General features: G+C 37.4%; 1 pseudogene across 1 annotated transcript in view; it reads right to left on the bottom strand.

Moving 5' to 3' along the window:
• Positions 1-27,926, bottom strand: part of SEPTIN7P2 (septin 7 pseudogene 2) — a 45,232-nt pseudogene that overhangs the window by 2,275 nt on the left and 15,031 nt on the right. Inside the window, exons 5-12 of the transcript NR_024271.1 lie at positions 25,468-25,585; positions 22,565-22,653; positions 21,154-21,250; positions 18,936-18,987; positions 10,726-10,849; positions 2,771-2,965; positions 2,117-2,252; positions 123-175 (exon numbers count right to left, since the gene is read on the bottom strand). The product of NR_024271.1 is annotated as a septin 7 pseudogene 2 (transcript). The remainder of the gene's footprint in view (positions 1-122; positions 176-2,116; positions 2,253-2,770; positions 2,966-10,725; positions 10,850-18,935; positions 18,988-21,153; positions 21,251-22,564; positions 22,654-25,467; positions 25,586-27,926) is intronic.

Genomic DNA, 27,926 nt, shown 5'->3' on the forward strand with positions numbered 1-27,926 from the left:
TACTATTATTAATTCCATCTTGCAGATTAAGAAACTAAGTGTGGCTGAGAATATAGATGGCAGACATTTCTTTCAGATCTTACAACTTAGAAGGGCTCTGGATAATTTGGAATTGCTAGTACCTGTGTCTCTTTTTCTGGAGGCCTTTTTCTGATGCCAGGAAGGTCCGCTGTACCTGTTTTTAAGGCAAAGAGAAGTGCCGAGACCAGCTCAGTTGGGGAGACCCTAACCCAGTGGTGCTAGAGGAATTAAAGACACACACACAGAAATATAGAGGTGTAAAGTGGGAAATCAGGGGTCTCACAGCCTTCAGAGCTGAGAGCCCCGAACAGAGATTTACCCACTTATTTATTAACAGCAAACCAGTCATTAGCATTGTTTCTATAGATATTCAATTAACTAAAAGTATCCCTTATGGGAAATGAAGGGATGGCCTGAAATAAAGGGGTGGGTCTGGCTAGTTATCTGCAGCAGGAACATGCCCTTAAGGCACAGATCGCTCATGCTACTGTTTGTGGTTTAAGAATGCCTTTAAGTGGTTTTCTGCCCTGGGCAGGCCAGGTGTTCCTTGCCTTCATTCCGGTAAACCCAAAACCTTCCAGCGTGGGCGTTATGGCCATCATGAGCATGTCACAGTGCTGCAGAGATTTTATGGCCAGTTTTGTGGCCAGTTTATGGCCAGATTTTGGGGGGCCTTCTCCCAATATGTCCCCCTTCTTTGATTTGCAAATCGATAAAAGCAAACGCAGCTTCGTCACGGTGAGCTACTTCTCTCAGGAGTCAGGATCCACATCTGCAGACTATACAAAGACAAACAACACAGAAGGGTCATGGGTGCCTATGCCTGGGGGCCCGCAGCTGAGCCCCGGGGGAGGCGTTGGACAGATGCCCTCTCCGCTGCGGCGCCAGTTTCCCGAACCTCCTGGCAGGCAGGTGGTGCTGAGGGCTGGGCCTGCTGTCCCTCGCGGCTCCATGCGCAGGGCAGCTGCATGGTGCAGGGGCGCACGGCTGGGGGTGCTGGTGGGGCAGCTACGGAGGTGGTTCACGCGTCCCAAGCTAGGGTTGCCCCACAGGGGAAGGGGCGCCCGGGCGCGGCCGCCGGAGGCATTTGGCCTAGCTTGGGAGCCGTAGAGCCCTTCCTCAACCATCATCTCAGGGCGGCTTCACGTCCCCTCCACCCACGCGGACCGAGCTGCGCTTCCCTTCCCCCTGCTCGGGCCCGCGCTGGGCGTCCCAGACTCGACACTTCCTGAAGGCCTGTAATTTTTAATTATAGCAGATTTATGTTGAGAAAACTTCATACTGAAATCACTGATTTATTTTGGGATTACCCAATTTTTTTCCTACTATTCTCAGATATCTATCAAACTACTGCTCTGTGGATTCTTATATTAAGTTTATCCTTTTCTCCATCTTTTCTTTCTTGCCACCTAATGAAGGAAATGTCTCCAAGGTCTTTTTGACTAATAGAAACTAAATGTATAACTCGACATCTAGAAGGGTTTCAAGATAGTAGATATGTCTGCTGGGATGTTTTGTCATTACCCTGCCCAATGTTGCGACGCTAGGAGTTTCCTTGACACTACATTATAAATAAGGCCCAACCTGTTAGCAAAAATATCACATTCCCTAATTTTCTCTCCTTTAACTGTGTGTAATTTATCCAGGCATGTCTTTAGTTCAGTAAAGGTTATTTCCCTCTTTTTCATTCATACACAAATAAGTCTGGTCAATTATTATTATCCTAACACTAGTTTTTGTGCATACATCCACCCCAAACTCTCATTTTTAGTGTTCTTATGCCACCTGTATGGAATGGCTTATAATTTTATTTTTCCCAACTCACACTTGTTCATTATAACTTTAATAATTCATTGTAAGTACTCTATTATGCTGTCATACCTAATACACTATGTCCAAGCACTTATGTATTGAAGTCTATATTATTTTATTGTAAACAGTGCTTGCTTGTAGAAATTTCTCCATTTTGTTATGCTAGGGTATTAATTTTTAAAAAATATGTATAAGAAGGTTATATTATCTATAAATTTTACTGAAGATACTATTTAAAAAGGAACACAATGTCTGCTAAGAGATGGAATATTGGACTGATTACCTCAGCTTCAGAGTCCTTCAGTTTTTGAACTTTTTCTTTGACCTTCATCTCAAACACCTGCTCCATCTCCATCTCCATCTTCTTAATTTTAGCTACTTGCTCCCTTCTTTCTTCTTCCATTTGTGCCAGAGGGCTCCTGTCATGAATATTAAGGGTAATCATTAAATGTCTGTGAATAAAAATTATAATAGAACTATGAAACAGTTTGATGAAAACAGAGATGCTATAAATGTATATATGCCATTATTAATATATTTATAACCTAGAACTTCTTTCCATGATATTTCATATATAAAACTTATGAAAAAAATGTAAAAAGCAAAGATATTCTCTAAACCTACTACATATCAAATCTAAGGATGATGACATACCAAATAAAGTGTAGAAGGAAAATGGGGAAAAAAATTCCCAAAATACATTCACAGAATAAAATATCAGAAGAAAATCATTTAATTTTGTTCTTTAAACAACATTTTAACATGAAAAACAGAAAATGAGTAATGAAGTTAATGTATGTAGAGTATTTTTAGTTTTACCAAAATTTCAAGTGTTACAATCTCTTCTAAGACAGCTACTAACACCACAAAAATGAACAATATTATTATTTATTTTGGTAACTGAACTGATATGCTGGAAATCACTACTAGTCAATACCTAGAGCACTATATAGGTATACAGAGTATTTCTAGGCCCCTTATGGTAACTTCAATGCTCTTGAAAATTCATTCCACTTGGCCGGGCGTGGTGGCTCATGCCTGTAATCCCAGCACTTTGGGAGGCCGAGGCGGGTGGATCACGAGGTCAGGAGATCAAGACCATCCTGGCTAACATGGTGAAATACCGTCTCTACTGAAAAAAAAAAATACAAAAAATTAGCTGGGCATGGTGGCGGGCGCCTGTAGACCCATCTATTCGGGAGGCTGAGGCAGGAGAATGGCATGAACCTGGGAAGTGGAACTTGCAGTGAGCCGAGATCACGCCACTGCACTCCAGCCTGGGTGACAGAGAGAGACTCCATCTCAAAAAAAAAAAATAATAATAATTCCACTTAAATATTTCAGTCTTAAATTCAATGATTTAAAACACACACACATACTTTAGAGATAATCAGAAGCAAATATTTTTTTAAATGCCAGAATATACACATAAGCATAGTTAAATAAAAAAAAATGTTCACTCTGTTGATGTTAAAGTCCATGGACTCAAATCTCTTTGGACAATTGGGTTCAAAATTTTTCACACTGAGATATATTTACAGGTGGGATTTATGTTAAGGCCAATATACTTACTCACAGAGACACAAGAGAATACCAAAGTACCTAATGCTTTCAGCCCAGGAGCAGAAAGAGAAGTGGGCTCTTTGCTTTGAGAGTCTCTGAAAATTATTCAATACCCTGGGACAAATTAAATGAGGTAGATCCTTCTTTGAATTTGTTAATAAAGCATGCTTGTTTTGTCTCCATAAAAACAGGCTTTGACCATTAAGGTTTATATTTTAAATGGGTAAATTTTATTGTAATACACTAATTTTAAGAAAAGAATTAACTCATGGCTTAAAAACAAAAACCAGACCTTGGATTTCACCCATAACTTTAAGGCTGGTCATTTTAACCCTGATTTGACACACTCTTATTATGGTGTCTTTTCTCCTTATTTGGCTAAATATTTCTGACCATCATAGCAATCTTTTCTATAAAGGAAGCAGGCAAGAGAGCTAGAGTGAAAATGTTAAAAACAAAACAAAAAAGACAGCATACTGGCTACCAGTTTTTCTTAATTAAGATGATCTGTTTTCGCAATTGCGTAAATTAGAATAAAATGTTATTTAACTCAAGGATATTTCTTCACTGAAAGAAAACTTACTTCTACATGTAAACCTGCCATATACTTTTCCAATTAAGCAATGGATCAAAAGTTCTGAAAATGAAAGTAACCAGACATATTAACTTAGAACAAGAACCTGCATTTTAAAAGCGAGTCAGCTGAGGCCGGGCACCGTGGCTCATGCCTGTAATCCCAGCACTTTGGGAGGCCAAGGCGGTTGGATCACGAGGTCAGGAGACCGAGACCATCCTGGCTAACACAGTGAAACCTCGTCTCTGCTAAAAATACAAAAAATTAGCTGGGCGTGGTGGCACCCGGGATGCGGAGCTTGCAGTGAGCGGAGATCATGCCACTGCACTACAGCCCGGGCAACAGAGCGAGATTCCATCTCCAAAAAAAAAAAAAAAAAAAAGTGGAGTCAGCTGAAATACATTTTCAAGTGTAAATATCTTTTTTTTTTTTTTTTGGTTAAAAGTTGATGAGATCCTTCTTAATAATATATTCCTCATATTAATGGCAGGTGTTTTTTAATATAGTTGCCTCTGATCTCCTGAGCACACACAGTGTCAGCGACTGCCCTGAAACAGCATACCAAATGTGTTTGCCAGCATTCTTCCAGTGAAAGGGTCCAAAGCTTTTGTTACATTTTCAAAGAGTCTGTAATTCCCGCTGTCCCCTAACACCCCACAAATCTTTTTTAGGCTCTAGAAAAGAAATAATCTAAAAACGATTAATTGCTCATCTTAAGTAACCGAATATGTATATTTAAGCAACTTAAGATTATTCAACAACATAATTGTGATTGTAAATACATTAAATTAGAAATCAGATATAATTAAATATCTAGTCCTACTTATATAACTCATCTATAAAATGTTTATTTTACTTTATCCTTGGGAAGGAGCAGGTAATTTTGCTACCTAAATTATTATTTAAATAACTACAAGGGGAAAATAAGAGACTGCAGAGAAAACATGCAATGATGTTTCAAAATCTTCTTTTAGGCCAGGCACAGTGGCTCACACCTGTAATCCCAGCACTTTGGGAGGCCAAGGCCGCCAGATCACAAGGTCCGGAGTTCAAAACCAGCCTGGACAACATGGTGAAACCTCATCTCTACTAAAAATACAAAAATTAGCCAGATGTGCTGGTGCACACCTGTAATCCCAGCTACTTGGGAGGCTGAGGCAGCAGAATTGCTTGAACCCAGGAGGCAAAAGTTGCAGTGAGCCAAGATCGTGCCACTGCACTCCAGCCTGGGTGACAGAGCAGGGCTCCATCTCGAAGGGAAAAAAAAACTTCTTTTAAATTCAAAATTTAAGTATTAAAAATCCCTGTATAGTAAAACTACTATGTCTTTGGAAAAACAATTCCCCGCCTTACATGCCTTCAACTGTATCATATCTAAAGGAACAAAAATTAGCGATTTAGCACATTAAAAGTAAAGCATGCTAAAAGCTTCAATTAAAGGCAAATGCGTAGCTTTCACAATTAAATTATGAAGGTATGTGCCGTAAATAAAAAATGTACAGTAAAATTCGCTAAAGCTAATTTATTTCCCAAATTATGTTCGTAATCATTACACTAAATCACTATGAAAATAAATATGCTGTGCCATTATCTTCTGAAAGTCTGTTCAAAGTTCTAAACCTGCTAAATGTGTGTACTTTCTAAAAGAAATGTGCAATATTTAACAGTTAAGATACTGTAAGTTTTTAGGCTTGTAAAAATAATCTGACCAAACATACTCAAATACTGTGAAAAAATGTTCATGCATATTTAAAATGAATTTTTTGAAGTCTCTCACCAGTAAAAATATTTCACATTTTTAATTTTTAAATTAATGCCTCACTTCTAGACATCTTTATTAATTTTTAGAAAATCGAAACAAAAAATTATGCTTACAAGGCAGAAAATATAGGGAGATCACTTTTTGTCTTCATATTTACTATTTTTTTCCAAGTAAAACCTTTTATTAAACAGCTGGAAAAACCATTTAAGTTATATCATTGCCTGCCTGCTTTTAAATAGGAAACTCTTACCCACACACATGTAGTAGTAAAGCTTATAAACCTATCAGCGAAATTAAAAACCCAAAGAAATGAAAAAAGCCTAGTAAAACAAGCAAAAGTAAATGGTTACAACATAACCCGAATATGAAACTAAATCCCCAAAGATTTAGCTCCTTCTAGGGATGTCTTTATAAGGTTAAAATTCCTGCAAGCCACACCCCTTCATGTGACTAATAAGAGAATTACAGCCACCACATAAGGATGACCTAGTCAAGTTCTACTTTGCTGCATTACACGTGACCCACCCTTGGAGTATAATAAAAAACAATCATGTTTCATTTAAATTATGTGTGGTTGTCTTTCCTAAAGAATACATTAAGCAAGTAGATTTACATACTTTTTCGCTCCAGTGGTTAGTAGGTCACTATGTGCAAAATTTTCCAAAGGAATTTCACTTAAATTATTTGAAAGATCAATAAAAATTTCCAAAAATTTTAAGTAATAATGGTTGCCAACATCTTGTTTTGCCAAGTAAGAGTATTAAAACCAAACATAAACAAAACTCCAACTACTATCATTATAATTTTATGAAAGGACACTTGAATAAAGAGTAAAAGATATAAATAAATAAGTTTAATTTTTTGAAACAACTTGAAATTTTCAGAAAATTGTCTTTATTTCTATTTAGATCAATGAGACTCTTGTATGAAGAATTCTGAGGATCTGCCTTTGGAACCTGTATTTTTAGTCATTTACTTATAAAGTTTTCCCAAGATGACTGATGGAAAAGGCTATGGAGAACAGAAAAATAAATTAACGTTAAGGGAAAGAGAGACTAGGGTGTGCCCCAACTTGGAGCAAGGTATCTATTGTCACAATTGGTACCAATGATACACATCAGTTCTGAAAAAGAGTCACCAATCAAATGTGATTTTAAGTAAAAGGTACAATGAAGATCAAGAAAAAAGGAGGCAGATAAAAGTTCAAGAAGGAAGTTTAACAAGATGGCCCTCCTCTTATTGGGAATCACTTCCTTTAAGAGATCAGCAATCTGATATGACCAACTCTTCTCCCCTTTCCTTTACAGACCCTTGCTGAATTTCCTTTGATTTGAAAGGCTACCCTTTCTGTGGCTTTCAGCCACCCACTACCCTCCATAAGGGATGCAAGATACATTCTCTAAGGAATTAAGAAGTACTTTGATGGCTCCATACGTTCTTTGTCAGAAACAGGTAATTACTGGATAGCTGCTAAGAACAGCATCCACTTCTCCAGATCTAACCTTGAGACAAATTACAGCTGACTGGACAAGTTCAGCTATTCTTCAGATTTAAACAACACATCTAATTCTTGTTTTAAGTCCCTCTAAAATAGAATTGTTCCAGGGCTATTAACAGAAAGGCACATTTTCAGACATCTACACATATATTTTTAATTTTTATTTTTATTTCATGTTTCAATAGCCTCTACAGTTTGCCCAAAACTACCTCAGAAAATTTAAATATAAGATAAATTGATCTACAGTCACGCACTGCTTAACAATGGGGATACATTCAGAGAAATTCATTTGTCATTGTGTGAACAACACAGAGTGTACTTACACGACTGTAGATAGTATAACCTACTACACACTTAGGCTCTATGGTATAGACATTATAATATTATGGGATCTTGTCGTATATACAGTCAGTCATTGACCAAAACATCGTTATGTGGCGCATGAATGTATTTTACTATTCAATGTCTAACATCTTTAAAAAGTTTAGCTTATATTCTAAAACCAAAGTGTGATTAGCACTTTGTGAAGCATACATTGCCAAAGATCAATTTAACTATAAATTTTCAATAGGTTCATGTTCCATTCCAAAATTCTTGCAACTCTCAACCCCTCCCCACTACCACTGTTAAAGAATACATTGCTATGGAGAGTCGCATGAGAGCAATATAAAAAGAAGATTAAAAGAAGCCTAACTCATACCTGCTTACTTCACTTATTTAAACATTAGTCTTTCTTTTCAGTTATTCATGGATATGTACTGAGCTATGAGGAAAAGCACCTTACATCAGCTAAAGCACCATAAGTTGTTAATGACTTTTAAAGAAAAATTTAACAAAAATATTTTTTGAAATTGCTAACATTTTCAAGACAATGTAAGATACAACCAATAGATAAACTTCTAAGCGATTTCTTTCAGATTCAGTATGTGTTATTCAATGAAGTAGTAACAATCTAATTTATCAAATCATATCAAATATCTATTCCAATTACAGCCATTCCCTAGTTGGCTTGATCTTCTCAAATGTTTATTGTTCTACTTATTATTAACATAAAATAAAATATTATGCTAGCTCCTGGGGCAATTTGCTTTTTAGCAATGCAAACATTTCTTTTCTTATTCGCATAGACAAAGTATGGTATGATTCCTCTCTTTAAGAGATATATTTCCAGTAGAATTCTACTATTTATGTTTTCACCTGGGATATAGTTTAACTCACGTATCCACACAGAATTTTGTGTATGCGGAAAAAAACCTAATGATACTGTAAAGTTTACTATTTTTCTCTGAATTATCTTACCTGCATCCAACAGCACTACTTTAAAAAGCCTTACATTTGAGACATGGGAACAATTAAACAGTTCCTTATATCGACAACATAACAAATGTTTTAAAAAATATATTGTATAAGTACATATATTTTTTGTATATTTTGTATATTTTCTTTTAATATACAAAATCATCAGTAGCTTTGTGTATGTGTTTCTTTTAATGAGTTAAAACGTTCATCATTAATGAGAATGAGTTTAAAGTGAATTAGGATTTTATGAACAATATTCACTATGATGGATCCTTAAATTTTTGTGCCAAAGTTGTTCAATAAACATTTGGCTAAAAAAGAGATAAAAAGCCTTCCTTTTGTTCATGTATTGAGGCTTACCTCAAACAGAATCTTGTATTTTAAATATTTAAGAAGGGACATTTTTCTATTCCATGATAAAGCATGTTAACCACTACGGAAAACACCATAGCTACTTTGAGAACTTGTATTATGTATTTATACAGTTGATCCGTCAGGATTATTGTCTAATGGTAGATAACACCGAGCTACAAATGCACATTATTTAAAATGGTTTCGTAATACAGCTATGCACTGCATAATGATATTTCAGTCAACAAGGGACTGCATATATGATGGTGGCCCATAGGAACTGAAAAATTCCTACTGCCCAGTAGCATTTTGATGATCTTGACCCTGAATAGGCCTAGGCTAATGTGTAAGTTTATGTCTTCGTTTTTAACAAAAAAAAAGTTTTAAGTGAAAAAAGAAAGAACTTTTAAAATAGAAAAAAGCTTATGGTATAAAGATTATAAAGATAATATTTTTGTACATCTGTTCATGTGTTTGTGTTTTAAGCTAAGTGTTACTACAAAAGAATAAAAAGTTTTTTAAAATTTAAGTTATTATAAAAGTTACAGCAAAATAAGATTACTAAAGACAAATTTAGAAAGTAAATTTAGTATAGCCTAAGTGTACAGTGTTCATAAAGTCCACAGTAGTGTACAGTAATGTCCCAGGCCTTCACATTCACTCACCGCTCACTCACTGACTCATCCAGAGCAACTTCCAGTCCTGCAAGCTCCATTCACACCAAGTGCCCTATACAGATAAACCATTTGTAATCTTTTACACTGTATTTTTACTGCACCTTTTCTATGTTTAGATACACAAATACTTAACATTATGTTACAACTGTCTATAACATTCAGTACAGTAACATGCTGTATAGGTTTACAGCTTACAAGCAATAGCTAGACCACATAACCTAGGTGTGCAGAAGGCTCTACCATCTAGGTTTATGTAGGTACACTCAATCATGTTTACAGAATGATGAAATAGCCCAATGACACATTTCCCAGAATGTATCCCCATTGCTAAGTGACATATGATGTAATTGTGATCTTCAATAATGACAAATTTTTTAAAAGTAGGGCACAGACATGGTTACCAGCTTCCTCACACATCTCTTTTTTTGACTCCAACATGAAACCACCACAGCTTGAGATATAAGCTCAATAGGGCAAAGCTACACACTTCGTAGTCACTTACACCAGTCTAACAACCAAAAGAAGAAACTGAAACTCCAGCTAATTTACTCCCTGGAATAGGAATAGAGAAGGTAACCAAGAATAAATTCATCTAAATATTCCTTTTCTTTTTTTTTTTTTTTTTTTGAGACGGAGTCTCGCTCTGTCGCCCAGGCTGGAGTGCAGTGGCGGGATCTCGGCTCACTGCAAGCTCCGCCTCCCGGGTTCACGCCATTCTCCTGCCTCAGCCTCCCAAGTAGCTGGGACCACAGGCGCCCGCCACTACGCCCGGCTAATTTTTTGTATTTTTTTTTTTAGTAGAGACGGGGTTTCACCGTTTTAGCCGGGATGGTCTCGATCTCCTGACCTCGTGATCCGCCCACCTCGGCCTCCCAAAGTGCTGGGATTACAGGCGTGAGCCACCGCGCCCGGCCCTAAATATTCCTTTTCTTAAAGCCTGTCCTTTGTTTCCACACAATCTGTAAGTGAAAACTCTTATCAAAATGGTTCATTCAAAAAAGCTTCTACTATTAACAAAGCATAACAATATAAATTTATGCTGTTATGCATAGAGAATGTTATCCAAATTTTCTACTGAGTAGCCAGGAGAAATTTAATGAAAATGAAACAATATGATTACTGACTACAGAAAGAATACCTTTTTTTGGAGAAAAAAATATATACTTACTTAGTGAGCTGCCCTTTATTCTTCTTGTTATCAACTCCATGATAAGTCACAGCTGCCAGTTTTCTGATTCCATAGTTCTCGTAGTGGACATTATTAGTAACATCTTTCAAGTCCTGCGTGTGTTCTGTCATAAATAAACGGCAAGAGTTTGCTTCTATTAATAGCTAGGGGGCATAAAGCTAAAAAAGCTTTAATATAAATTCAAAATTTTACCAAAACAAAAATTTCAGATTTAAAATGAACAAAAGACTATTGTTAAGGAAGGTGGCATTCATCTGCTTTCATTTACACCCAAAGTAGAATAAAAAATAAGCTAACTTGACACCAAATTTAGATTCCATAGAGATTTTGAGACCCATAGCAAGGACTTCATGACTAAAACAACAAAAGCAATGGCAACAAAAGCCAAAATTGACAAATGGGATCTAATTAAACTAAAGAGCTTCTGCACAGCAAAAGAAACTACCATCAGAGTGAACAGGCAACCTACAGAATGGGAGAAATTTTTTGCAATCTACCCATCTGACAAAGGGCTAATATCCAGAATCTACAAAGAACTCAAACAAATTTACAAGAAAAAAACAAACAACTCCATCAAAAAATGGGCAAAGGACATGAACAGACACTTCTCAAAAGAAGACATCTGTGCAGCCAACAGACACATGAAAAAATGCTCATCATCACTGGTCATCAGGGAAATGCAAATCAAAACCACAATGAGATACCATCTCACGTCAGTTAGAATGGTGAACATTAAAAAGTCAGGAAACAACAGATGCTGGAGAGGATGTGGAGTAATAGGAACACTTTTACACTGTTGGTGGGACTGTAAACTGGTTCAACCATTGAGACAGTGTGGCGATTCCGCAAGAATCTAGAACTAGAAATACCATTTGACCCATCAATCCCATTACTGGGTATATACCCAAAGGATTATAAATCATGCTGTTGTAAAGACACATGCACACGTATGTTTATTGCAGCACTACTCACAATAGCAAAGACTTGGAACCAACCCAAATGTCCAACAGCGATAGACTGGATTAAGAAAATGTGGCACATATACACCATGGAATACTATGCAGCCATAAAAAAGGATGAATTCATGTCCTTTGCAGGGACATGGATGAAGCTAGAAACCATCATTCTCAGCAAACTATCACAAGGACAGAAAACCAAATATCACATGTTCTTACTCATAGGTGGGAACTGAACAATAAGATCACTTGGACACAGGGTGGGGAACATCACACACTGGGGCCTGTCAGGGGTGGAGGGCTGGGGGAAGGATAGCATTAGGAGAAATATCTAATGTAAATGATGAGTTGATGGGTACAGCAAACCAACATGGCACATGTATACATATGGATCAAACCTGCACGTTGTGCACATGTACCCTAGAACCTAAAGTATAATTTAAAAGAAAAAGAAAAAAAGAAAAAGAGAAATGGCCATAGGAGGGAAGACTTTCTTCTAGGGCATTGAGAAGATTGTCAAGCCCAGATGACAGGCACCACCTTTCCACCTTATGCCTCATTAATGGAAATATCACAATGCCCAGATCAAAGGCAGAGCTTCCCACCTATGAGCCTGCATCTCAATCTTCACCTTCCAGAAACCAGGCAGTGTCTTCTGGGCTGATTACTTCCAGTTTATCTCATTGTGATGTCCAAATATTATAGCTCCCCTCTCCCTTGTGATGAGCATGGAAAATATCGGTGGCTCCAAATTCCGATTGTTTCACCTTAGAAAACAAATCTGAGAACCCCCCTAGCACCAAGCACAGTACCTGGATACAACAGGCACTCAATAAATATTTGCTCAGCCAATGCAAGGATAAATGGATGAAATTCCTCATCCCTGTATTCATTTCTGAAGACCTGCTGGTGAAAATCTAGCTCTAAACATCTTTCAGATTTATTCCATTGAGGTATGAAAAAGGAAAAAAAAATGACGATGCAAACGAACTCAGCAGCTGGCACAGAAAGTGCAGTCAGATTCTGCTTCCCCTGTAATTAAGTGTGCCCCATGCCTCTGACTTAGGCGATGACAGCGTGCAGCTTGCCTGCCTGCCCTGGGTGCCTGGGAGGGCAGGCAGCCTTCAGGATGCCACTATACAACACATTCGCCACCTTATCAAGATTTCCACAGCCACAGGAAGATTTCTCACCCCGCCATGCCCCCCACAGGCTGCCCTGTGCTGTCATGCCCCTTCCTGGCTGAAGACATGCTGGCTGTCCCCTCCGCTCCTCCCCGGAGATGAGCATCTTTCCTGGGCCTCCCTTGGTGTTTTGACAGCTGCTCCATGTCCCCGCTGCTCAGAGAGGGAAAACCACTAGGGAGGCCTTGGATGGAAATATTACTCTCTGTCCAGGGTAGCATGGGCTTGATTGCGCCGGATTATTTCTGATTGTTGTCACTGGGCCAAGAGCACAGCGAAGTCAAGAAAGAAATAGCCTCATTAGTGAGAGTGCAGCGGTCTGGGTAGGCAGCAGTGGCGTGGAGGACCTGCTTTTGCAGGAGCAGTGAAGAGAGGGGAAGGAGTGGTGTCTTTATATTGAGATATTTTGAGATTCCTGGTTTCTCCACTCACTTCAACTGCCCATATAGGTTCTGCAGGTTCCACGAAGTTCTAGAACTTGTACAGGATCGAGCCCACAGCTTCTCATGGAATAAACACAGAATCAAGAAAATCTGGTGGAAGTCGCCTGGTTTAACTCCTTTGAGGTCTAGAGCAGAAATTAAATAGTGCTTAATCTGTTACTTTAAAGAAGCCTAGTTCTAACTTTTCCTCAGCTCGCTCCCTCTTTTGCCTAGGATAGGAAGGGTGAGTGCAAATGGCCAGCTCCCTGTAGGTCTGCCTCTTGGAGCCCTAAGTTTTCCGCCACTTCTCTGCACTACAGGCTTTGCCCACAGTGGGATCCTCAGCCCAGGGACCTTGTTTGTACTCCTCTTGGTGCTGGTGCCTGCTGCCCAGCCACACACCCTGAGATTCATTTTTAAAGAAACATCAACAGCTCTTAAATGGCAAATAAGCCCCTTTCAAAGAGCTGGGATGACTTTGAAAAAGGGCCTGAGACAGCAGTCGACCTCTGACCATCTCCCCTCAGATGCCCTCTCCATCCCACCCTCTCTCCCCGTCCCTGTCCTCTGCTCTCCCAGCGAGCCTGTCTGCTCTTCAACCCTCCTTCCTGCCCGATTGTGCTGTCTCCTCAACACGTCCCATGTTGCTTGATTCCTAAAATAACATAGGGGAAAACATTTTTTTTCTTTGTTCTTTTTTTTTTTGAGACGGAGTCTCCCTCTGTCCCTCTTTCGCCAGGCTGGAGTGCAGTGGTGCAATCTTGGCTCACTACAACCTCCGCCACCTGGGTTCAAGCGATTTCCTGCCTCGGCCTCCTGAGTAGGTGGGACTACAGGTGCGTGTCACCACGCCTGGCTAATTTATTTATTTTTAGTAGAGACAGGGTTTCACCATGTTGACCAGAATGGTCTCAATCTCTTGACCTTGTGATCCACCCACCTCGGCATCCCGAAGTGCTGGGATTACAGGCGTGAGCCACCGCGACCGGCCAAAAACATTTTTTTAAATAAAGAAAATGAATCCTCAAAAAAGAAAAAAAAAAAACCCACAAATCTCCCAAAGCAGTAACTGAAGGATGACCTTTCTATGAAAGAGTATTCATTTTTATATTATCTATTTAAATACTAGACAAGAGAGTGTAGATTAGCTACTACTGAAGCTCATAAAATCTAAAAGTAATTGCCTTTTAGCAATATTACTAAGGTAATATATGAGTTTTTATTAAGACATAATAATACATTTCAGATGACATATCAAGTTGCTTTCAAACTAGGGAATTTTAGAGTAAATTTCTGTTTCTTCAAACTGTCTAGGTGAATGTGGTATTTTGGTTAAACAAATTTTTGCTTACAGCATTTCTATCATATATAAAATCAATACATATGAGATAAATCTACAATAAATACGGGATGATGTCATCATTATTTAATTATTCAAGACACCGAAGATACCCTTAGCTGCTCCATGGATATCCTTTACCAATGTAGTGTTCTTGGATATACACGGTGTGGCAATACTCTGTATTGTCAGTTCTCCCTCTTCCCATCATCTGTTCTATCTCAAACTTCCTATATCTGCCATCATTCATCTTCACCACTTTACTAAAACTCCCTTCTGGGAGACAAACACAAAGGTGTATTGTTGGCTGGGTGTGGTGGCTCATGCCTGTAATCACAGAACTTTGGGAGGCCGAGGTAGGTGGATTGCCTGAGCTCAAGGAGTTTGAGACCAGGCTGGCCAACATGGTGGAACCCCATCTCTACTAAAAATACAAAAATCAGCTGGGTGTGGTGGCGGACACCTGTAATCTCAGCTACTTGGGAGGCTGAGGCAGGAGAATAGCTTGAACCCAGGAGGTGGAGGTTGCAGTGAGCCAAGATCGTGCACTGCACTCCATCCTGGGTATAAGAGTGAGACTCCGTCTCAAAAAAAAAAGCGTATTGTTGTACTGTTTTTATCATTCCTTACATCCAGAAAACCTTTACTGTTACTTCACAATCCAGCTTCTTGAATCTCCCCCTTTGTGAATAAAATGTGATATTCAATTACTCTGATTCATATCGTACTGACATTTCCATGCAATTCTCTGATAGTTCACTCCCCTTAGTCCTAAGTCTGAGTTTTCCAAAAATCTCATCTCCCAGACTTTGTCCCTTGATAAATTCATGTTCTCTTATAGCCACAACAGTTACTTCTAAAGCTCTACCACTCCACTTAGGGCAAGTCAGACAGCTCCCTACTCCTGGCGTATCTGGTGATTGACACTGAACAGTTCAGGCTAATTTGTCAATCTCTCATCAAAGAGTTCAACTGCTTTAGAAACCTTTGTCCCAGCCTTGACATCAAAGCATTCCAACCATGAACATTTTCTTCTTGGTTGTCATTCATTTTTGGTACAAGTATATGTCACAGGTGACATCATACCTCTTCAACTATAAGTTCCCCTTTACAAGGAACACACCATTACCTTTTGTGTCCCAATGCAGATAGCAGAAAATAGGAATTTTAACAAAATTGGTAACTCAAGATTGAAGCTGAGATATGATAAACACTTTTTGGAATAAATTATTGTTACCAGTTTCTCTAAGTGGAGAATAATAAGAATAAACACCTATGCCAATATAAAAAAAGTTTATGTAATTTTTTTCTTTCTTTTTTTTGATACAGAGTCTTGCTCTGTCGCCCAGGCTGGATGGAGTGTGGTGGTACAATCTCAGCTCACTACAACCTCTGCCTTTCAGGCTCAAACCATCCTCCTGCCTCAGCCTCCTGAGTAGCTGGGACTACAGGAATGCAATACCACGCCCAACTATTTTTTATATTTTAGTAGAGACGCAGTTTCGCCATGTTGCTCAGGCCAGTCTTAAACTCCTGAGCTCAAGCAATTCTCCCACCTTGGCCTCCCAAAGTGCTGGGAGTACAGGTGTGAGCCACTGTGCCCGGCCTAATTTTAATTATTATATATTACATATCATCACTACATCCCTGAAAAATCATTAAAGGTTCTAAGGAAGAATACTTACATGAAATGTTTGCATGAATGTGTAAAATAAAGGTAAGGTGAATTTACTAATTGTTAAGCTATTTTTGTTAGTGTCATCTAATGTTTTAGATAATGGATGATTTTCCTTTCACTAAAATCACTTTCACTTCTATATGACTACATAATTCTGATTTTTTCAGGTTATATAAGTCTTTATTTCCATTTAATTAAATATGCTTTAACCTTTTATGATTCATCCCACTCCTCCATTCTCAAAATAATTTGGTAATTAGCAATACAGTTTCCCCACAGTTTCAGGAATTTGTCTCTTCCATTTCCCATTGCTGATACCATAACTCTTTCTGTTCTCCTTTTGTTTTCTTTCCATATTTGATTTCTGAAACACCCATCTCCACACCCTGAAAATATTTGTATAGTTTTCCTCCTTTCCATTGCCTTCTTTGGTTTGCCTGGAGTAATTCAGTTCTCTTAATTAGCAAACACTTCTTTGAACTTGACTCTTTCTTAGAAGCAATCACTATTCCTTTGACCTGAAGATTTCAATTACTTGGGATTTACAGACATCTGCAATACTGGTATTGTATTTCCTTCCTTCAGGTATTTACTAAATATCCACTAGACGCCTTTGTCTTAAAGACATGAGCTAAATTAAATATACATCTTTCTAATACGTATAACTTTAGAATTTTTAGGCATAAAAGGCTTGCTGCTCTGCTGTATTAAATCTTCCTGCAGGCATGGTCAATTTGCTCTGTAATGCTTATACTAGGGAGGACCCTCACTAGCTGCCAGGCTGTGAACTTTCAAATATTCAAAGTAGCCTCTGGGCTGGGTGGGCGTGGTGGCTCATACCTGTAATCCCAGCACTGTAGGAGGCCAAGGCTGGTGGCTCACTTGAGGTCAGGAGTTTGAGACCAGCCTGGCCAACATGCTGAAACCCCATCTCTACTAAAAATACAAAAATTAGCCGGGTGTGGTGGCACATGCCTGTAATCCCAGCTATTCGGGAGGCTGAGGCAGGAGAATTGCTTGAAGCGGGGAAGTGGAGATTGCAGTTAGCCAAGATCGTGCCACTGCACTCCAGCCTGGGCAACAGAGTGAGACTCCATCTCAACAAAGTAGCCTCTGGCTTAGTAACTAGCTTTCCCCTCTACAGTGTTTTAGGTATGTAGGAAATTATTGATTGTATACTTTTAAAATACACAAGAAAAAGTTATAGAATGCCACCATGTCAAGCACTGGACAAGTACCATAGAAGATTTAAAAATAAGAGGAATGCAATGGTAATTAGTATTTATTAAACATTCTCTACTTATATACTGTCATAGCAGATTATATTATTAATAGGTATCCTTTTGAAGTCACACTTTAAGAATGGAAGAGGAAGGGAATAGTTCATAACACAGCCTGAAGTGTTGTATTCTCAAAACCCAGAGGATGACCTTCTCGTGCATTTGCTCTTCTCCCCTAATTGAGGCCTGGCAACCCCAACTGCTCAATCAACCCTGTCATGTAGTTCCTACCAAAAACACCTGCTCCTTTGAAAATAAAAGTCAATTACATGTCAATTTCTTTCATTTCAAAATTCACTCTCATCTCTATTGTATTTCTTGAAGTAGCAGTTTGACTCTCTTAAATTTTCCCCCTCACTTCTCACTTGTGAGAATGACCTTCTTGTTATTCCATGATTTCCAATTATTATCCATATTTATGTTACTACCTTTCTTTACATAGCTAAAGAGATTCTTGCGTTTCGGGAAAGTGGGTAAGAGGTACGAAAATGAATAGATATCAACTTAAGACAGACATCTAAAACTGGAGGTTAAAGAGAGTATGTGGTAAAGGCGTAGAGAAGCAAGAGAGAGAAGCGGGAAATAGGGAGTGAAGTAGAGAGAGGAAGGAATGTGTCTCAAGATGAAAACACTGAGGATCATTTTGATGCCCTTTCTGTTCCTTACCTACTAACATCTCTAGTCCTATTACACTTTTTCTTCATGATTTCCTCTCTGCTGCTGCTTTTCTAATTCATTAGTAAGAGCTCCTCTTTACTAGTCCTGGTCCTCTAATCAGGATGGTCTCAATGTCCTGCTCCCATAGGCTTTCCTTCTCTTTCAGCAGGTGTGCAAGACACAGTGTAGGGATTTTTTTGTCTCACCTGATAGGAAGATTGGTTTTGTTCTCTATGTTCCAGTACATAAAATATGCCCTACTCACCAGCTACCAGGTTGTGTACCTTTTAACATTCAAATTCTAGCTTTTGACTCAAAAACTAGCCTTCCCTTATACAGTTTTCACAAGTTTTTCACATTAAGAAACAAGAAGAGCCTCTTCTATTTCACCTTCCATAGTTATTTCAGTATTAAACCTCAACACAAAGTATAACGATAAAGTAAAGAGACTAATTTTCCTATGTATCCCTAGACACACAAATTATTTTGTAACTTTTGCTGATGACTTCAAAACCTTGGAGAAAGAATCGTCTACCTGTAGTGCTAACTTCATTACTAGACTGAAGATATAAATTTAAATTAGCTACATTTATAGAAGGCAAAAAGTAAATCTATCCAATTCTTATTTAGGGAAAGAAAATCTTATGCTATTTCCATCATTGCTTGTACTTACCTTATCAACATATTTCTTAAAACTGTAAAATCACAATGTTCACCATTTTCAACTGTAAGAAAAAAATAGACCGCAAATATTATATTTTCACTAAGCCTAGTCTTTTCAAAAAATATTTCACAGGAACTTGGGGGGTAAAAACAAGGGAGGGGAAATGCAAAACAGCTCAGATCAATTTTTTTGAGATTTAACACTAACATAGTACTCAATGTAAGGGCATGACAGAGAAGTGTACTATATTATTACCTTACTGTAGTTTAATCCTCAGAAACAGATGTCAACCTAACTAAAATGAGCTCTCCGGAAACAACTTTGAAATTTTGAAAGGGGAAATCACACATTTTCTCATTATTGGTAAAAAATATATTTATTATATAATACATTTAAAAAATTCAGTGGTGTAAGTGAAGGGGGAATCACTTTAGAAAAAAATCTTAAGGTAACCAAAATGAAAAAGGGAGCCAAGAACTTTAAGATTCTTTACTTTTATTTTTAAAGAATGTATCACAAACAGGAATATTACTTGGGAGTAGAGAGGTAAACTACAAAAGAGAGATGCAAATCAATTTCTCTGGTGCCTATTTTTAAGGGGTATGTAAGTTCTAAAGCCTCAACTCAGCAACTGAAAGTTGCCTGGGCATGACAGAGAGAGCTGGGAACAAGGTACAGGGGTCACTGGTGGGAAAATTGTCAATAAGGACAGTAACTTGAAACAATATCCTAAAAATTAAAGAACTGTTCAAAATAAACCAGGGGCAGTGGTGTGTGCCTATAGTGATGTGATGTGGGAGGAGCATGTGGGAGGATCACTTTGAGCTCAGGAGTTTGAGGCCAGTTGGGCAACATAGCAAGACCTTGTCTTTAAAAAAAAAAAAAAAAAATTCAAAAATAATAGCAACAAACATAAAACAATCATGTCTCAATTTTGGTTTCAGCTTACTATAATACAGAAGATTAAATATCAGATTAAACCAATACAATAAACCTATTGCCAAGAGGAAGGACTTCTGAGGTTTGGTGTTATAAATAAGATTTTATTGGTATTTAAAACTCCTTACTTAACCCTTAATAATTTAAGATAGCAGGTTAAAAAACAAAAAAATCCTTACAAAACTAGTAAAGAGTATCTCTTACTAATGAAATTTTTTTACTCTAAATATGCGATGTCAAAAAAGGCAACTTTTGCACTGAGGAAAGGAGACTGTGAATGTTTTAACTGGGCTTATTCATTTTTAAAATAATTCTTGAGGGTCCATGACCCATCTGACATTCTGATAAAAGTGACTAGCCTTCTCTCCAAAATGTTTAATTCCAGGAGGTTCATTAGATTCCCTGGGAGCAAACTTAGGGCCCCAGGTAAAGAACCCCTCAATTTTAGTTATGTTTTCAAATAAGAAAACAGAAATAGACTTAATAATGAGGCAGGGATGTCAGCCAGGGTGGGGCAAGTTGAGTATCCCTTATTTGAAATGCTTGGGACCAGAAGTGTTTTGAATTTTTTTGGAATTCTGGAATATCTGTGTTATACTTACTGGCTGAGCATCCTTAATCCAAAAATCCAAAATTCAAAATGCTCCACTGAGCATTTCCTTTGAGTGGCATGTCAGTGCTCAAAACGTTTTAGATTTTGGAGCAATTCATATTTTGAATTTTCTCTTTAAGAATGTTCAACCTAGGCCGGGCACAGTGGCTCACGCCTGTAATCCCAGTACCTTGGGAGGCTGAGGCGGGTGGATCACAAGGTCAGGAGTTCAAGACCAGCCTGGGCAATATGGTGAAACCCTGTCTCTACTAAAAATACAAAAATTAGCCAGGCGTGGTGGCACGCACCTTTAGTCCCAGCTACTTGGGAGGCTGAGGCAGAAGAATCTCTTGAACTCGGGAGGCGGAGGTTGCAGTGAGCCAAGATCATGCCACTGCATTCCAGCCTGGGTGACAGAGCGAGACTCCATCTCAAAAAAAAAAAAAAAAATTGAATGTTCAACCTATACTACAACTTTAGGACTTAACACATACTTGCATGACTTAGTAGGATACAGGTTTGAAAAATATGAATGTATTTAAGAGGAAAATGAGACTACAAGAACCTGAAATCAGTACTATCCTTGAAATCTAGATTATATCAATACAGTGTGCATATTATACTCCTTACTATAAATACAAATTTTTAATCAGTTTTGAGATCTTATAGAAACTCATTCACTGAAGAAAACCTTACCTTCAGCAACACTCCAAGGATACTGCCTTCCTATGACCCTTTTGCCATTAACTTCAATGATAGTATTACTACCCACCACAGCAAGAGGTAAATGGTCCTATAAAACAAAGTATTCTTGTTCAAATACATCTCTATAGTATTCACAAATTTCAAGAATAAAAAAAGTTACATGACTCAACAGATTAGCCAAAAAAAATTACTTTTGATAGTTTCTGCATTAGTTTTTATAGGCCATTTAACCAATATTTAGTAAATTGACATCACATGATATTACCACCAAGGTAAATAATAAATAAAATTAAATGTTCTCTTTAAAGTTAAGAATATTCAAGCATATACTGGTCAAATTATTTACTAAAAATCACTACAGAAAGTTGTCCCATGCTTGGGGGGAAAAAGGTAAAAAATATATTAGCATCTGGGAAAATAAAAGGAGGCTAATGACTAGCCTGACTACTTGATCACAAACCAACTGTAACAGTACCTAAACAGGGAATAGTATATTTGCTAAGCTCTAACTTTGGAACTTCAAATCCAGGTGACTGGATTTGTATTCATCCATGTGTAGCCCTTCACAGTTCTGTGGCTCCTGGAAATATCTAACCAGCTATTTTATATAACTGCAGAAATTCTTCACTGGCGAGGTATAAGCATTTCATTATTCCAAGGTATTTGCCTACATAATGCCATTATTCAGTATACCATTTTTAGGGACAAAGTACTTAGAAAACCACGATAAATTAAAATACAGAAAATTGTGTTGATGTGAATTTTTGGTTGGTTTTTATTATTTTTAATTGAAACATAATTGTACATATTTGTGGGGTAGAGTATGGTATTCTGATACCTGTATACAAATATGTAATGATCAAATTAGGGTAATTAGCACATTTATCAACTCACACTTATTTTTCTGTATTGGGAACATTCATAATCCTCTCTTCTAGCTATTTGAAAATATAGACTAAATTATTGTTAACTACAGCCACCCTACAATGCTACAGAACACTAGAACTTATTCCTCCTATCTAGCTGTAATTTTGGTTGGCTTTTATAAAGATAAAAGAAATACAGTTTTTGTCTGGCAATTAAAACATAACAGAAGGAATTCTCTCCTTTCTCATCACTTGTTTCTTAAGAGGGAAAAAATTACATAATATGAAAGCCAGTTAATTAAAAACAATTTGAAATAAGGATTGTGTTATTCACCTCAGTAGTTTACACAATTGCTTGTTATATATACTAGCTAATCTTCAAAGTTAACTATAAAGTTGAATTCAACATTAAATCTCCCTAGGCATTTTGTAAGCCAACTACTTAAAACACCGATACTTTTGATCTTTCCTGTGGACGCTGTAGTATGTTTTTAAGGCCTCAGATTACTTTAGTGTATGTACAGGGATGAACCTACCTTTATCTTTTTAACAAGTTTTTTTTCTTCTTCATCATCTGTTTCTGGAAATTCATATATTTTAACTTTATGTTCTTGGATTTCTTTATCTAAAATGGAAGTAGTCAGCAAAAGAGCACCATACATAATTAGTACATTAGTCTTATGTTTATTACATGCTTCTTAGATTCCTATATGGCTCCTTGTTTCCACATCCTTTACTGTTTTTTTAATGATGCAAAGTTGTAATCTAAAATCAAAGTACTATGCTGGTCTTTTTTTTTTAAACTGTAAAGTTGATATATAAACACCAAATCCAATTACTTCAGAAGTGTTGAAGTCATACAGCTATCATATCAAAAGAGTTCCAAAAAAGATGTAAAACTCCAGAAAGGAATTTCTCTGGTTGATTTCCAGAATAATGACTTTAGGTCATTTATTTACAATGACTGAGATTCTTCCTTTAGATATAAATCTCCAAGTATCTTATTTAGTTGAATAAACAGGGCTAAACTCACCTAAAATTTTTAGTAGAATCTGGCAAAAGTAAAGTGAAACTAAGTACAACACTGCCCCCTGCACATTCATCAGAAAAATCCTTGCATGTACATGTGCATACACACAAACTGAGGAGCAGCAGGTATAAGATTAGGGGAGGACACAGGGAGAAAACACACCCTAGAAATCAAGAATTAATAAGAATGCAGAAAACTAAAGAAGACAACTTATTAATAACATCAGGAATGACCTAGTTCAAATTAAATTATCATGTCCAAAACCACTCCAAATTCTAAACAGAATACAGACATCCAAATAATTTTCAACTACCTATCCTTCTTTGAGCCCATAACAAACCAATGGCTGATATACCTAAAACTAGCTTCCCTGCCTATACTTATATTTTGGTGCAATTTTCATGGCAAAGCTTCCCAGCAGCTATAAAAGGACCCTGAACAAATTGTGTTACATGGTTACTATACTAGATAGAAGTAAACAGAAGTAAAACTGTCACTGAAGAAAAATAGGACCACATATCTTTTATAATTAGGGTATGTACCTACATATATATTAAAAAAAAAACAGAATAAATGAGGCAACATATACATAATGAAGAGAAAAACGAATAATTGTAGCTAGGTTTAAAAGCAGTGGTTTTAGTCAGAGGTTGTATATTAAAATGACCTGAGTACAACCACCAGAATGTGACCAATTTGAAAGAAGACGTCACTTCATATTCATCTTTTTTTACCTTAAAGTTATCAGTAAAAATCCAAATAGAAATATATAATAAAAGAAGAGAAATGTATTATAGTACTTGAAACTTAGAAATAGCACATTACAAAATAAAAATGGGAATGGATAAGTGTAAAACAGAAAAATACTAGATACAGTAAAAACAATGTACTAAAACATTCTGAAAATTTATATGAATTTAGCGTAACTTCAAAGCAAATTTTAACAGGCTTTTTATAACAGGTTTCAAGGTATTCTGAAATGCATATTGAAAAAGGTGAAAAACAAAATATTTTGTTACAACAGGACTATATGGACAATAGAGATAATTACCATCTATTTTTAAATATTATACAAAGTTGTTGTGGTTTAAACAATATAATACTGGCTGAAAATAAAGACTACTGGAATAGAGAAAGTTTCCAGAATTGACCCTACATTTCATAAAATGTAATATATAATGAACCAAACACAATTAAATTAGAAATATGTGTGACTGTATAACTCAATATTATTGAGACAACTAGACATGAGTCTAGAAAAACAGTTTAGTGGTCTTCCAGCTAGCTCAGTCATACAGCATGAGACTCTTAATCTTAGGGTCACGGGTTTGAACAATAACTTAAACTATAAATATCCCATAAAGTGCACTGAAAACAAAATTAGGATATAAGCAGCAAAAGAGAAAACATAAAAAATATTGTGAAAATGAGAGACAACTAAATACCCAGAATAAAAAGAACCCATATCAATAAATACGGGCAATACCAAGTACTACCGGTCAAAAAGACAAAGGATTTAAACAGGTGTTTACAAAAAGTTAAAAAAAAACTTTGTTTTTAAATGTTCAGCCTTTCTGGAAAATAAAAGGAAAAGATAAAGAAATGATTAGGTACCACTTTATTCCAAAAAGGTTTTCAAAATAAAAATAACAAACAATGCTGGCAAAGTCACAGTGAAACAGATGTACGCTTTATAAAATGAATTTGTTTTATTGGGAAAGCACCATGACAAAATGGGGAGTGGGGAAGATAAAGACCCATAAAAACAATCATAGCCTTTGAAAGAATAATCCTCTTCCTGGGAATTCATTCTAAGAAAATAATTCTAAAGAGTATGGGTCAAAATTATCTGTGTGGAGGTGTTATTAAAGAACACTTAAGGCTGGGTGTGGTGGCTCACACCTGTAATCCCAGCACTTTGGGAGGCCGAGGCAGGTGGATCACGAGGTCAGGAGATCGAGACCATCCTGGCTAACACAGTGAAACCCTGTCTCTACTAAAAATACAAAAAATTAGTCAGGCATGGTAGTGGGTGCCTGTAGTTCCAGGCTACTCGGGAGGCTGAGGCAGGAGAATGGCGTGAACCCAGAAGGCAGAGCTTGCAGTGAACCGAGATCATGCCACTGCACTCCAACCTGGGCAACACAGCGAGACTCTGCCTCAAAAAAAAAACAAAACTTAAAACAGCCATATTTAAAAACTGACAAAGGATAAGGATACTATGACAATGGGTAAGAGCTTTGAGGGGAAAACTAAGGCAGAAGATTCAAGAGTTATTTTTAATACAGTATAAATGACAATACAGTAAAGCAGTAAGAGGAATGGATTGCAACACATTATACTAAAAATAGTAAAACCTGCAAATTATGAGAATGGTATAAGAAACCTGAGTTAACACATCCTGCTCACCTGTTTTTTAAACTGTTGGCATTCCTCTGGCATGAGTGTGTCTGCTTTGGCAATAAGTGGGATGATATTCACTTTTTCATGCAAATGCTTTGTAAACTCAATATCCAATGGTTTAAGTCTGAAATAGACGTATTTTATATGACTGAATTAATCAGTTTGAGAGAACAAGATTCTTCACATCCCCAGTTAGATTTCAATTATCTTCAGTTGGTCGACTGACTCTCAAATCTTCATACGCAGCCCATATCTTACTGTTAAGTTCCACATTTGTGTTTACCCAGTGGATACGCTACCCAGGTGTTCCATGGGCTCCTTAAAATCAAAAGCTCGTCTGAACCCCATTTTCCCTCTTCTGTGCTTCCTATCTCAGTGAATGGCACTACAGTCTACCCAGTTACTCAAGTGTGAAACCTAGCATTCCTCCCCTCCTCTAATCCTCTTCCCATATATATAGTATGTGTATAGATGTATATATGTATGTATGCATATCTCCAATTCCATTACTTTAGTCTAGGCCACCAAGACCTTTGGAATGAATAACTATAATACAAACCATCCATACTAAAGTCAGAGTGGTCTTTCTAAATCCAAATCTTACTGAGTTATGCCCTGACCAAAAATCTTATCAAGACCAGATGCCTTAACTAGTATGGCCTACGAGGCTTGTGAAGACCTAGATTCTCCAGCTGACCTCATCTCTTAGCATTCCTGGCCTTTCCTTTGCCTCCTACTTCCAATGTGCCAGCCTTTTACTTCTTTTACTTTTACTTCTTACAATTCCTTAAAAGCACCATACTTTGGCATCTGGCCACAGGCTATTACCTTGGCTGGAACACCCTCCATTCTCATCCTCCTTCTCCTTGGCCTGGCTAATTCCTATTCATCCTTTAGGACACTGGCTTACGATCCAATTTCCACTGGGAATCCTTTTCTAACCTAAGACTAGGCATATTTCTATGTGGTCACAACACTTAATGTGCTGTACAGTAACTGCCTGCCTGCATACAGATGGTTCCTCACCAACTATGGTTCCACTTAACAATTTTTCAACTTTTTGATAGTGTGCAAGCAATACGCATTGAATAGAAACCATACAACCATTCTGTTTTTTACTTTCAGTACAGTATTCAATAAATTACATGAGATATTCAAAACATTATTACAAATAGGCTTTATGTTAGATGATTTTGCCCAACTGTAGGCTACGCTATAATGTTTAGTAGGCAAGGTATATCAAACGTATCTTCAACTTATGATGGGTTTATGTAACCCTGTCCCAAGTCAAGGAGCATCTGTATTTGTTTCTCCCATCTTCTCATTGAAATACCCTTTACAGTGAGGGCTTTATCTCATTCATCTGTATCCTCAGCACTTAGCATGGTATCTAACACTCGAGAAGGTGCCCAAATATTTGTTGACAAAAAAAGTAAGCTGCTGTAATTTTCCTTTAGTAATTCTAAATGAGAATCAAAGTCCTCAAATCTAGAATATACTGTGGACTAAAATTTAATGTTTCACAAGAATAAATGAAGATACTAGAAATATTTTGCAAAGGACTATCATTCTAAAGTGGTATTCCTTGACTGTTTTTTTTTTTTTTTTTTTTTGAGACGGAGTCTCACACTCTTGCCCGGGCTGGAGTGCAATGGCATGATCTCGACTCACTGCAACCTCCGCCTCCCAGGTTCAAGTAAGTCTCCTGCCTCAGCCTCCTGAGTAGCTGGGATCACAGGCACCCGCCACCATGCCCAGCTGATTTTTTTGTATTTTTAGTAGACTGGGTTTCACTATGTTGGTCAGGCTGGTCTCGAACTCCTGACCTCCTGATCCACCTGCCTCAGCCTCCCAAAGTGTTGGGATTACAGGCGTGAGCCACCGTGCCCGGAGGTATTCATTAACTTTTATAAAAACATGAGAAAAATGAAACAAAAGTCTCATTCTGTTATTAATTTTATTGACTAATACTAATAATTGAATTGACTCACATTTTAAAATGAAGAAAGAGAAACATATATATTAAAATTGGGGGGATTAGGGCCCTAAAACTAATAAGATAGTCCAGTCCTTTTTACTAACAAAGATTACCGCATATACTTCACTGTGGCGGTAAGGCTGACAGGCAGAAAGACAGAGACAGTGAGGGGGAGAATGCAAATATGGAGAATTAAGATAGTTGCCTCCTATTCTAATTCTCCTTATCTTAAATCCCTTGAAATTTGACACTGGCATTCAGAGAATAGGGAGCACAATGAAAAAGAGTGTGTGGATGGAATAACACTGTTTAGATTATCTGTAAACTGTGTTCTTGCCTCACTAGTGTTAACTAAAAGAACCTATCCATTTCTATTTATTTATTTTTTTGACAGGGTCTTGCTCTGTCACCCAGGCTGGAGTACAGTGGTGTAGTCATAGCTCTCCATAGCCTCCAATTCTTCCACTTCGACTCCTGGGTAGCTAGG

This window comes from Homo sapiens, chromosome 7, assembly GCF_000001405.40.
Source record: "Homo sapiens chromosome 7, GRCh38.p14 Primary Assembly".
Taxonomy (NCBI): Eukaryota; Metazoa; Chordata; class Mammalia; order Primates; family Hominidae; genus Homo; species Homo sapiens.